Raw genomic sequence first — 13336 nt, forward strand, 5'->3', positions numbered from 1 at the left:
GCTGTGTGTGTGTAAAGCACACACTGGGGTTCAAACACTCAGAAAAGGGCAAAATCTATCATAATCATTTTCATTATTGACTACATGCTTAAATCATAACATTCAATATATTGGGATAAACAAAATATTAGAGTTAATTTTGCCTGTTTCTTTTTACTTTTATTAGTGTGACTGCTAGAGAATTTCAAATTATACCTGGGTATGGTGGCTCACACCTGTAATCCCAGCACATTGGGAGGCCGAGGCGAGCGGATCACTTGAACCCAGAAGTGTGAGACCAGCTTGTGCAATATGGTGAAACCCCACCTCTACAAAAAATACAAAAATTAGCCAGATATGATGGCGTGTACCTGTAATCCCAGCTACTTGGGAGGCTGAGGTGGGAGGATTACTTGAGCCCAGGGGATCCAGGCTATAGTGAGCTGAGATAGCGCCCCACTGCACTCCAGCCTGGGCAACAGAGTGAGGCCCTGTCTCCAAGAAAGAGAAGAAAATTTCAGATTACCCATGTGGTTTGCATTTGTGGCTTGTATTATATTTCTGATGGACTACTCTGTCTCAAAGTAAGTCATTGTTTTAATTTATAAATGATTATTGCTTAAAATTTAAATGTATGTATATGCATACAGTTATACTCTGCATATAGTTATATATATGTATATACTTATGTAATTATGTAATTTGAAGATTACATAACTATAACCTACTTCCTGTGATAAAACACTATTGGACACGTCATCTAAACAAATAATTGACACTAGTGCTTAAATACATTAATGTATATCAAGTCAACTTTAAGATAATCAGACTAAGTTTTCATAGATTTTATTGTGTAAAGTTTTATTCTTTTTGCCTATGTCTGAGGGAAGTTAGAATTTTGGAACCAGTGCGAAGTTCATTTTCATATGTTTTATTCTGAATCACTAACATTAACTCTTCTGAATCTGTGACAGCCAGCATTTGGAAAGTTAATTCGAGTGTCCTAAAAGTCACTTTCTTCAGTTTGTTTACCTATCTTATTATCATAGTCTAAACGTAGCTAATAGTAAAAAACCTCTAAGTAACATTGTTTAGTGATTGAGCCAATAAATTAAACATTAACAAGAGAAACTTGGAATTCCAAGGACCAAGGCTGAGTAAATCAATTTCACCCACCTGTCCAGTGAGCGTTTGCTGAGAGGAGAAGATGTAGAACACTGTTCTGTGTTTTAAATTTTTATATCCTTAGCAAGATCAAACTCCTTCTTCTCCCTCACCTAAAGGTGAGATTCGGAAGCAGGAGATGTGTTCTAATCGCTGTACAGGTTGCCTAGTTCATCAAAGTTGGGCAGATGGGGCCAGTCTGGAAGCTGGCAGGCAGCTTCCCTGGCAGGAAACTCTCCGCCATGTTCTCTGCCTTCATATAAGGCAGCCAGCAGCATTTTACATCGACGTTAATAATAACGGAAGAAAAAATAGATCATTCTCTGTTCCCTTAGGTTATTTAAATTTTACTTTTAACCTTTGTTTTCTAACATTGAACATTTCTCAGGAGCATGCTCACCGTGTGTTTCTTATATAGAATAAGTACTGGTCTTGCATGATCAGAGCCTCAAAGTCAGCATGAGAAATTTGAGGCTCCTTTGAATTCATGCAAGCTCGAATTAGAAACAGCCTCAAACAGCTTCAGTTAGAGTCTTTTTTCTGTGGCTCTCCAAGAGATGGAGCAATAACTTATAATTATCCCAGGGTGAGGTTACCCACAAAATTTGACCATCCACTTCTAAGGCCAGAAAGACATCCGAATAATGTTACTCAAGGGCCCAAGACGTGGGAATTGGTCATTTTTGTTCCTGTGCTTTCCTTCACCATCAATACTTCAGTATTTCATAAGCGTAATCAGTTTTAAGTGAAAGGGCAACAACCACTGCCACATGCCGAGGTGTCCCTAAGCCAGCAGCCTTCATGGAGAGCCATTCAGCAGCCCTCGCTCAAGATGGCTTCTTCAGAAAACAGTAGAGGAGAGCTTGCTTAGTTTTTGCCTTCTCTTATTTTCCCCAATAGAACAATGTATGAGCTTTGGCACATGCCTAAAAGATGCAGGTGGTTTTAAGCAACTATATACAATAATAGTAATCATATTATTACATATCAAGCACTGTTGAAAGAGCTTTACATGTATAACTCATTTAATCTTTACAACAGCCCTTTAAGGAAGATATGGTTAATACGTTGTTTGTCAATCATTGAGGTACCTGAGTCACAGAGAGGTTGAGGAACTTGCCCAAGATCACACAGCTAGTAAATGGCAAAGCCAGGATATAAAAGCAAGCCCTCTGCCTCCAAAGTGCATAAGTCATAATGCCACGCAGGAGATTAAAATAATTTTGTGTGTCTGGATATTTATGCTAAGTTTTAGTTTTGGAAGACTTGAATTGGTGGTTTCTGAATCCTGTTGAAAAAGGATCCTTTCCTTCCTTTCCATTCCCTATTAGAAACTGACCTAAACCTATTAGGGATCCTTGAATATAGACACAGCGGTTCTATTCTGAGCTGTGATGTCTCTTAAGCCCTTCCAAATATTAACAGTATATTTGTGTGGTAGCAGGCAGTATCTAAAACATAATCATACCTTTTTATCTCTTTTGAGTGCTACAGCTGCCCTATAGGCTAAGCATTATTCAATTCAGTTTTGTTTTGTTTTGTTTTATTTCCCAAATGACCATGCTGAGACTCAGCAAAGGTTGTGAGGATCAGCTTTCACAGATGGCAAATGGCAGAGGAGGGCAGCATCCAGCATTCTTTCTCCCAACTGTGCATTTCCTCTCAGATTGTAGATACTCTCTGTCACTCAGAAGGCACAGATGCATAAAATATATTTCCAAATAGAGACTAGAGAAGTTGATGGAAATATGGATTTATTTTAAGTTTCAGTCTGGAAACATCATGATCACAGAGATTCAGAAAATGCATGAAGAAGAAGTCTATTACAGGATTTTTACTTTACTCAATGCTATGTATGCTTTTAATTAAATGAGGAGTGCACTAAATGAAAATCTCCATGAGAACCATCCAGATTAGTGCAGAGCATCTTTTTCTGGGGGGCGGGGGGAGCAGACAGAATTTTGCTCTTGTTGCCCAGGCTGGAGTGCGGTGGTGCAATCTCAGCTCACTGCGACCTCCACTTCCCAGGTTCAAGTGATTCTCCTGCCTCAGCCTTCCAAGTAGCTGGGATTACAGGCATGTACCACCACGCCCGGCTAATTTTTTTTTTTTTTTTTTTTTTTTGGTATTTTTAGTAGAGACAGGGTTTCTCCATGTTGGTCAGGCTAGTCTCGAACTCCTGACCTCAGGTGATCCTCCCACCTTGGCCTACCAAAGTGCTGGGATTACAGGCGTGAGCCACCGCAACCGGCCAGTACAGAGCATCTTAAGGTTGGAAGGACTCTTAGAGACCATAGTCCAGCCTCCCACTTGATACTGAAACACGTTTGTGAATTCATGGCAGATGTCTAACTTCCCTCACCACCTTTCCGATATGGACAGTTCTCATGCCCAGAAGCAAAACCTTCTTTATTGTGCTTGTCCTCCCTTGACTGTCATGCATATAATCAGCATCTTTCCCACTAAGTGAAGGGCCCAGACTCGAGCACAGGAGCACAGCACCCCTTAAACTCACGAGGGGCTGCATTCACACCATCAGCAGGGAGATTACACTTGTGTCATTTGTGACACTAGACAGGTCAGCTAGCACCATCAAGTACTTTTTTTTTTATATGAACTGCTATTGTGCTAGGCCTCCCCAATCCTGTACTTGTGAGGTTCATTTCTTTGAACCCAAATACAGAAATTCCTGTTTATTCCTTTTGCAAATTTGATTATTCAGCCTCTTGGGAGAATTTAGATTCCAAGTTCTGTCAGTGAGTATATTAGCCATTCCTCTTTGGCTGTCTTAGCCATTCAAAAGTGTGATAAAGATGCTTCCATATGACATATTGAATGAAGTATCAGGGCCAGGATGTCCTGAAAAATACCTTATTGAGGACACAGCATAAATACAGGAGCCTGCACTCCACTCACCAAAATCTACCATATGGTGATTCACATTTCATCCACCAAAATATCATGAAAAATGAGGTCACAGGCCTCGGTGACATCAAAACACTTTTAAAATCTATATCCGTTTCCATTCTACTTTTCTTATGACCCAATTGGGGCAAGGGGAAAGTTCTTGCTACTCATTGACCATTTGCTAAGTATTTCTAATTCATCAGATCAAAAGTTGATTCTTGACGTTTTCTAGGAATTAATAAGCCAATTAATCTTGGAGAGGGCTCCAATTTGGTTCCCTTTGAACATCAATATGGCTTCACGCATTAGTATTTGCCTATGATTGCCAGCAATGATAGGAGATTGCTTCTGCCACACTGTGACTTAACTTACTCAGACGTGGAGACTCGAATTTTTAAAAAAAATACCTAACAGGCAATCTTTTATTATCTCTTTTCTTACTTCAAGCTTTGGTTCCACCTTAACAGTGTTTTCCTGATGCTTTCCCAAGTGCAGATCATTGGCCTCAAAAAAAAAAAAAAAAGAAAAGAAAAGAAAAGAAAAAGGAAGCTAAAAGGGTTGCCTAATTTTGTGTCCTATATTCCTATTCCACCTTCAACTCTGATCAGCCATTTTAACCCTTTTCCGTCCATCTTTCTCAGAACTGAACTTAAGTTTTGGAATTTTTTTTCTTTTCCAATTCTCAGTTCTTTGAGGCTTCCTGAATAATTTGTGCTACTTAAAAAATTTTTTTTTTTATTTTTTGAGACAGGTCTCACTCTGTCACCCAGGCTGGAATGCAGTGGCATGATTGTGGTTCACTGTGGCCTGTAGCACCCGGGCTCAAGCCATCCTCTCACCTCAGCCTCCTAAGTAGCTAGGAATACAGGCGTGTACCACAAGCCCAGCTAATTTTTAAAAATTTTTTATAGAGATGGGGTCTCACTATGTTGCCAGGGCTTGTCTTGAACTCCCAGGCTCAAGGAATTCTCCCACCTCAGCCTCCCGAAGTGCTGGGATTACAGGCGTGAGCCACTGCACCCCATCTATTTGTGCCATTCTGTTGTATTCATACAAGACCTTGAGTCCTACTTTCCAGTTTCCCAATTTTTAGAAATCTGACCTCATGGAGTTAACAAACTGCGTTATCCTTTCAAGGGCCAATTACAAATTACTTGATGACTATGAAAACTTCTTATTTACAAAATATTTAGGTTATGCTCCAATTAGGGAATCTACCCAGTTACCTGAAGTTATGGCTGAAGGCAACTGCTTAGTCAAAGCAATTAGCCTCTAGGAGACCAGCAGAATTGCCCTGAAGTTTGTCAATGGCCCATGTGAGGTCCGTCCTGTACTTTTGCTTTTCAGATGAATGTACAGGATCTGAAATACACCGATTGTCCCTTAGGCTTCTGAAAGCATGTAGGCAGCTCCCACAGGGCCAGTTGGGGCTTAGTAAAATAATCAGAGCCCAGTAAATGAGAAAAGTAAATGCATGTAGACTGCCCTGGGCCAGGATGGTCTTAAAGCAAATGATGGACATCTTGCATGATGTTTTTCAATGCTGGAGCAATTGTTTTTCCATGTTCAGAAAGTCAGTGGAAACAATTTAAACAGATAGGTAGTCAGCATATAAATTTAGGAACCCATAAAGCATTGAGTCAACATGTATTAATACTAAAAATTTCTCCAATATACTATGTTAGGCTCTGGGGATTCAAAAGTGGTATCAATTTTTCAGAAAGAATCCTATATACCAGGGTGATTAAAAATTTTTTTAAAAGCTAATGCATTGGTGGGTCACTATGAAGGAAATTAAAATGTAAACTCAACAAACCAATTCTTCTATCTCATGTCTAACAAATGATGAAGTAGCTGGAAAAATGAGTTCTGTTATTTTGCATTCATGCACCCATTAAGTGGAAAGTAAGCTGCAGATTTTGATTTATTAAGATTGTACAGCTTTGTAGCCAGCCACTTCTGCTCAGAGCTTACCTCCACCATGAAGCAATCTCTTCACCTGGAAGTCCAGTTGCCTTCATTTCTGGAGGCATTGCAGAGCCCTATGGAAGTCAGTACCCTGGAGTAGAAAGTCTAAACAGGGGGCCTGTGGTGATACACGTGTAACTAGAGGCATCCCTGCTTCCCTGGTAGACCGTCCTCCGCTCCAGGGCCATTGCCACCATTTCCTTTAGGCCCCATTATGCTGAGCATGGTGGATTCTTTAAACAGGCCAGGCTGTCTGACCTCAGTGTTTCCGTATCACTGCAGACAAGCACAGCCTCTTGATCCAAGTGACAAGACCATGTTGACCCCAGCTCTGCAGGGTCCAAGGCCACCCATGCTGGGAGGGGTACAGAGCTCCTTAGCCCCCAGCCCACTGCAGATGATGAGGAGGAAACCCAGCAAGAGGAAGGGCTTCCCACCCAACCACAGCATGGGCTGTAGGAGAGGTCATTCCTCCTTCTCGCCCACTAGTGGACTTCCCATTTCACCCCCTTCCCTGCCAGGGGATTATGTTTCCATCCACAGAGCTTCTAAAGCCCCCCAGTGATGATCACTTCATATCCCATAGAAGTCATATTCCACACTTTTTTGGAAGCAGTGCTCCATGGAAAGGTCATTGGGTTTACAATCCCTGCTTCAGGAGATACCAACTCCAAACCGCATTCGCACAAATTGTATTTTATTTTGTTTAGTGTTTGACCTGAGACTTAATTAGTGACACATTCTCTTCAAAAGTGGCACTTCCGAGAGTTAACGCCATCAGTCTCTTTACTGTCCTGGCCGTGGTGGATACAGTCTTGCCCTGGCTCTCACGATAAGCTGCATGCTTGCTCGGATCGGGCCGCGGGGGTGAGGTCAGCCTCGTGGCTGACTTCCAGGGAGTTCTGCTTCCACTGAGAGAATACTCAGGCTTCCCGGGAGCTCCGGTTTCTTTTTAACTTATCATCTTTCAGTTTTATCTGAGTGGCTGTCACTTCAGGTAACTCCAGCAGTGCCATTCCCTGCCAGCCTCTTCTTGCCTGCCCTGAAGTGACCCTGCGGTCCCCTCCCCATTTTCTCCTCCCCCTAGACTTCCTCCACGAGGTGAGTCCCCACTTGGTTCAGAGCCAAGGTGACAGATCTGTAGACATCATGGGAAATGGCTTGGCCTAGAGCACTGTAAAAAGGATTCTTCTTTGCTGGGCTGACAGCCAGACAGCCACTCACTGCCTCCCTGAGACCTGGGCCTGTGACTCTTGCAACCCCAGACACGGAAGACCCCAAAGAAGCTTGGCTACCCTCAGTTGTATTCAGTCTCCAGAGCAGGACAGACCTGTGAATGGTGTCTCCCAAGCATGTTGGCCACCCAACTGCACTAAATGCCACATAGTGCCAGTGCCAGGAATATTTGAATTTCTCCCAAGACACTGAGTGCAAACTCTTCGTCAGTTCAGAGCAGACTTCCCAGTGTAAGGTGGAGCTAATTCTTCCAATGACAAAGCATGACAGAGGGTCCCAAACCTACCCTTTAAAAACATGCAGGCAAATAGTATCTTGACTTAAATCAAGAGGAGAAACCATGTGAATATTTAGACATCTTTCTTTGTTCATCTTTCTTTGTTCTTCCTCTCATGCTCCAGAACTGAGCAGGGTGAATATTGGAGGAGAGTATCTCACAATTCGTATTTTAATCTGGGCAATTTAGTAGAGTATTTGCATGGTAATGACCTATGCCGTCAGACTACCAAGCTCTGTCCTTTCTCTTTCCCTTTAGCTGGTTCTTCCCCGTATTGAATCTTAGCACCCTGAACATATCTGACTTTCTTCTTCTTCTTTTGGCCATGGAATAAGGAACTTCAGCTTAGCTTTTTGTTTGTCTTCTCTTTCCCCATGAAGTTATATGAACCTCCTGCCTTCTTTGTCAATTTTTTTTCAGCCGAGAGCAGCTTGCCAAGTTGAGAACAAATCATTCCTTATGGTCCAGTTAACTTTGACCCACTGGCTGAAAGGGGATTACATGACAAAGTCAGGATGATCAAATGATGGGATTGGCTCAGGGCAATAGAATGGTGAAGTCAAAGTGATCAAACATGGAGCTGACCAGAACCACTCGAGAGCCAGGGGGCTCAACTGGGGTCTTGGGGCAGGAAGCTCTGACCTCCAGTCATCCAGTGTGGTCAGCATTCATTGAAATGGAGCAGCCAATCCTGGCATAACAGTAATCTGTAGCTACCCTTTCTGTATAAGGGCATTTTAGTCTCCATAAAACTGGACTCAGAGTTCAGCTATGATTCTGATGTAGGGTTTACTATATTTGGAGAAAACATATGGAGTGTTGTTGTTTGTTTTGTTTGTTTTGTCTGATCCACCAAAGGCCCTGTTTAGATTGTATCAGGTTATGCTTTCCCAACACTTACTTTCTTCCTTCCTTTCCCTTGTGGCTTTACAGACACAAACAAACAGCAAGCAGCAGGCAGGTGTTCTGTGTTAGGTCCTAGGGATGGTGCTGAGTAAAGTGGGTGCAGTTCACGTATCCTTTAGCTGGAGCCAGGGTCCCTGCTGACTCTGCACACCGCCCACTGGGCACTTGCAAGTCTGTTGCACTGACGTGTCTTGTTAGTAAATTCCTGAAGTCATAGACCATATCTGAAGCATGTAGGATTCACTACGGCAGTGAGTCCCAGAAAGTGAAGGAACTGGGCCTAGAGGAAGGCAGTGGTGCATCTCTAGGCTCAGGACTCTGCTCTAAGGAGTCTGCCAGGCTCCAGGCTCCTTCCTGTCACCACCATGCTCTTCCTTGGAGGTAGCTGTCATGGCCAGTATTTACTGTGCTCTCTATACCCAGTCCATCTGCTCTCAGTTGCCACCCAAAATACCCAGCCCCACTGCCTGCCTGAAATAAAAGAAAAACTCCAAATCCTTTGCCAGTCTCAAGTGGTGAAGAGGGCTGAATCCATCATAGATTTGCCTGTGGCCTCTAGGCAGCCCTTTCACCAGTAGCCAGAAGGAGGCAGAAGGAGCACCAGGCCTGAGGAGGTGGGTGGCCTCCTCTCCCAGGCCTGAGTCAGTTGGTCCACACCCTTCTAATGGGTCAATCCCAGGAAGGTCTGAATCCACCTGGGCACCTCCCACCTCCACCTCTGTGCTTGGTTCTTCCAGACCATGAAGGAGCAGGCACTGTGATTGGCATCCTGCCTTAGGGAATAATCTGAAAGTGTTGAAAATGCAAAGGAAACAGTGAATATAGAGTCCACTTCCAGGAAGCTGCCCGTTTAACTGGGAGAGAGGACCAAAGCACACCTTCCCAAGAAAACTGGACTTCAGAATGCTTCAAAACCAAAAATATGTAAGGAAGGAAAAAGGTTTTGTGGTTAACAGCAACCCCAAACCATGTGAAATGCCGAATGCTATTGCCCCTCGTGGAAAGGGCCAGTTAGCTGAGTCCTGCATAGAGCACCCTGTTGTGACTCTGTTTACCTACTTTTGCTTAAACTTGCTTGGCCATGACTCCCTTTCTCCAAGCAGCATCTCTTTATATGAGCTCCAGAGACCCACTTTGGGAAATATTCTTCCAGATGGATCTTGGACCTTCCTCCTGCAAAGAGGTATCATAGGAACAAGGGGGAGTGAATGAAGGCACCCACTGCTATCTTTCTAATCTCCCCTCAGTTTAATCCTCAGCCGCTCTGGTTTGTAAATTTCTTAATGATAAAGAGGTATCTTGAGCTACCTGACTCTCAGCATATTTGGTTTCCTTGTCCCCACGTGCAATACCAAACCAGTGCGTGGAGCCCGACCCACGCTGGCCTTGGGTCCTCGGTTATGCCACCTTCTTCTCCTTTGCAGTCTTCCAGGAGACCTTGTCCTTGGGAGGATGCTTTCGCCAAGGGACCGACCTCTCCTCTGCTCTCCTTGGCCCATTGCGCTGTTCGCCCTTCTCTTTCTGCATCTCTTTCCTACCTCTGTGTGTTGTTCTGGTTCCCAGGGTGACGGACTGCTGTTTATCCCCTCAGTAAACTCTGCTTCTCCCTGTTGGTGCCGTGGCAACCTGAGCTGCTTGCTCTACAAATCACAGCCCATTTAACCGAGCCCTTGTATTAGTTTAAAATAGTTTTTGGAGGGTTGTACTTTTTTTTCATGATAATAATAATTTTTTAAAAATCACCGCTTTGCTTTTTTTTTTGGTAAAAAGTATTGCTTTCCTCTGCCTCGTAGCTTCTTGAAGGGCAGAAAGAGAATAACTCCAGGTGTGGGCTACATTCCAAGGGAATTGTGTACCACTTGGTGCTGAAGTACTGAGTTCCCATACAGGGTTTGCCTTCATCCTGTGCTGAAATCCGTGAACATGTTGGGGTTAGGATCAAAGAAGGGGTTCCCGCTGAAGGTGCAGGGAGAGTGTTTCCTCTTCACACGCATTCTGCTAAAGGTGAAGTCAGTATAGATACGCACTGGGCATTCACACCAGGCAGGAGGAAGATTAGGTAGCTGCATTTACTGGATCATGTATAGCATTTGGGATTTGTGTGTTTCCCAGGGTGGAGATCTGCTTCACCGCAGAGACTGGGGAAGGTAAAGTTGGAGGCCAGCAATAAGCCCTGCCCAGCCAGAACACTGAAGGCATCTCAGTGAGGGTCTTTGAGTTTTGTTGTTTGTGTTGAGGTCCCTCCTAAATGATGCAGCACTTTCCTTGAAAGGTGGGAAATTGTTGCCATGATGAGAAGCAGAGAACTTGAAAAGTGAGTCCATGCGTGCTGATGGGATGAGAGGGCCCGTTTTTCTGAGCCTGGGACAGGGCCTGCATTCAGGGTGGTTTGGACACCCTCACTCCTTTCCCATGCTCTCCTGTGAGGCTGCTTGTGACCTAGTCACTTTCTGTGTCGAATCCTTCCTCTGCACAGCTTCTGGGGCGATCTGTTAAACCCACCATCCCAGATTCTTCAGTGCTGTTCTGCTGACCCATTGCTGCATAACAAACCACTCCAAAACGTGGTAGTTGAAAATAACAGTTTATCATGATCTCTTAACTCTTGTGCTTCTGTGGGCTGCCTGGACCCAGCTTAGGGGGTTTTGCCTGGGTCTCTCAGGTGGTCGCATTGAGAGGTTGGCTGGACCTATAGCCATCTGAAGACTTGATGGCCCAGATGTCCATGACGGCTCACGCACGTGCCTGGCCTCTCACAGCTGCTGTCAGCTCAGCTGGAGCTGCGGGCAGGAGCAACTGCATGCGACCTCTCTACACAGCCTGGGCTTCTCCCAGCTTGTTGGTTGGCTTCCAAGAGGGAGCTTCTGAGAACTCAAGCGGAAGTTCCAGGATCACTTCTGCCACATTCTGTGGGTTAGCCAAGTTACTGGTGCCTGCTCAGATTCAAGGGTTAGAGACTGGAGGGTCACACTCAAGAGAGCATGTGGGATAGAAAGACAGCTGAATCCATCTTTGGAAGGTGCTGTCTGCTTCCCATCACCTACTTCCAGCTGAAAGCTTCAGCATCTAAGCAAAGCTGTAGGGGCCTTTGAGGACCAAAGGAGGCAAACCAAATATGTCTCCATCCGAAATGAAAATAGCTTTGTTGAGTTCCAATGGGGGGGAAAATGTAGAGACTTAACATTTAGATTTCAAAGTTGTTGCATAGAAAAATGTCAAGGAGAAGTTTGGTGCTGCTTTTCAGCTCCTGAAATCCTGTCTTCTTGGCTTCTCTGAGAAGTTCACGAAGCTTAGACAGCTTGGTAATTTTCATCCTTTCCATGTGCTTGATGTGTTTAGAGAAAACAGTGTGCGCTCACATGCATGTCCTCATTTCATGTTGTCATCATACTTGCACAGATGGGGAAACTGAGGCTCACAGAGGCCTCCTGCTTTCTCAAGTTATTGGCAGAGCTGGGGCTGACATTGCTCCATCTGCACAGGGCCCTGTTTGTGTGTCTGACCTGACGCCTCCCTGCCGCTCCTCTCTTCCTCTAGAAATACGAAGTAGGCTCTTTGATGCCTTCCTGCCTCTGCTCACACTGTTCCTCCTCTCGGAAACCCTGTCCCTAAACACACACCTTCTTCCACTCCTGACTCACGCTCAGCCTTCAGGGCACAGCCTAGGAGGCCAGCTTGGGCAGGGGTTTCCTAACTGCACCCTCTCTGCAACAGCAACTGCGTCCCCTTTTTTCTTCTTCCCACAGTGAAGTATTTCATGCTTGTCTCTCCTCTAGTCTGTAAACCCTCAGGGTCTTATCTCCTGCTGTAAATGTGAACTATTATCAGATGTTAACTCATCCTTGAGAAACCGTTTCTGTTCCTCACCCCTTACCTACAACCTGTAATTCTAATATTCTGGCAGAATTCAAGCTGCCTGCTACTCTGGCAGCAAAAGTCTTCTGCAAAAATAGATCACCCATAAACCACCACTAAAACCGAGCCAGGGATTTGATAACGAGTTCAAAAGTAGAAATTACTTTGTGTTAATGAGAAACCATATTGGAAAGACTTGGGAGGAGCGTAAAGATGGAACGTGTCAGCTGTTAGATTTAAACCAGATCTGTTTCCAGCATTAATATAGAGAATTCATCGTAATACTAGTTACCATAAATAATTTTTAACTGCATATGTATTCGGTAGATGCATATTTAAAGTAAAAACATGAAAAAGGAGATGCTGTTTTCGTCACTTTTTTTTTTGATCTGCACTCACCTGCTCCAGGTGAGAACTTGTTCTAATGGCATGTCTGGATCAGGGCCAGCAATGAAAAGGTTAGACCCTGGGCTTGGCACCAGCTTATGCAGCAGAGACATTAATTGTCATGTCCAGTCAGATTATGCTTTTTCCTTCCATTCTGAATGTTGCGTCTTCTCTGACATTGTATATCCACACCTTCATTCTCCCATGTGAACAGAGCCTCCCACAAATAAATAAAGTTGACAGTAAGAACTGACTGGATTAAACAAAAGTTAAACAGGTTTCTTTTTAAGGCACCAGGAACTATAGAAGACCTACAGAAACAGGAATGCTGCCATCCTTGTGCCTTGACCTTGAGAATCAACTTGGGTTTCTTTCTGATTGTTACTAGAATGCTTCCTGAATTCACAAACATGTTGTACTTTTATTGCATGGCATCTCAGAGCATCTTAAAGCAAAGGTTTTAATTAATTAGAACACCTTGTGAGTCTTCAACTGGGAGGAGAAGGCAATATGACCCAAACAGATTTAACCACAAACCCCTGCCCTTTGCTTTCCCCTCACAAAACACTTTCCTAGAGTGATGCTGGAGTCTGTCTGTAACTTCACAGTGAGATGTCTTGTATGACAAACATAATATGTACGAGGTCCACACAGCAA

At 44.0% G+C, this 13336-nt stretch overlaps 1 protein-coding gene across 8 annotated transcripts in view, besides 1 other annotated feature; it reads left to right on the forward strand.

Moving 5' to 3' along the window:
• DAPK1 (death associated protein kinase 1) overlaps positions 1–13336 on the forward strand; it is a 211407-nt gene that overhangs the window by 88585 nt on the left and 109486 nt on the right. The window lies entirely within an intron of this gene.
• Positions 6902–7402: an enhancer, noted in NCBI's record as "H3K4me1 hESC enhancer chr9:90207629-90208129 (GRCh37/hg19 assembly coordinates)". NCBI's record gives its function as "activates a minimal SCP1, AML or CMV promoter by ChIP-STARR-seq in primed H9 embryonic stem cells {active_cell/tissue: H9 hESC(primed)}" and the evidence as "EXISTENCE:reporter gene assay evidence [ECO:0000049][PMID:30033119]".

This window comes from Homo sapiens, chromosome 9 (assembly GCF_000001405.40).
Source record: "Homo sapiens chromosome 9, GRCh38.p14 Primary Assembly".
NCBI lineage: Eukaryota > Metazoa > Chordata > Mammalia > Primates > Hominidae > Homo > Homo sapiens.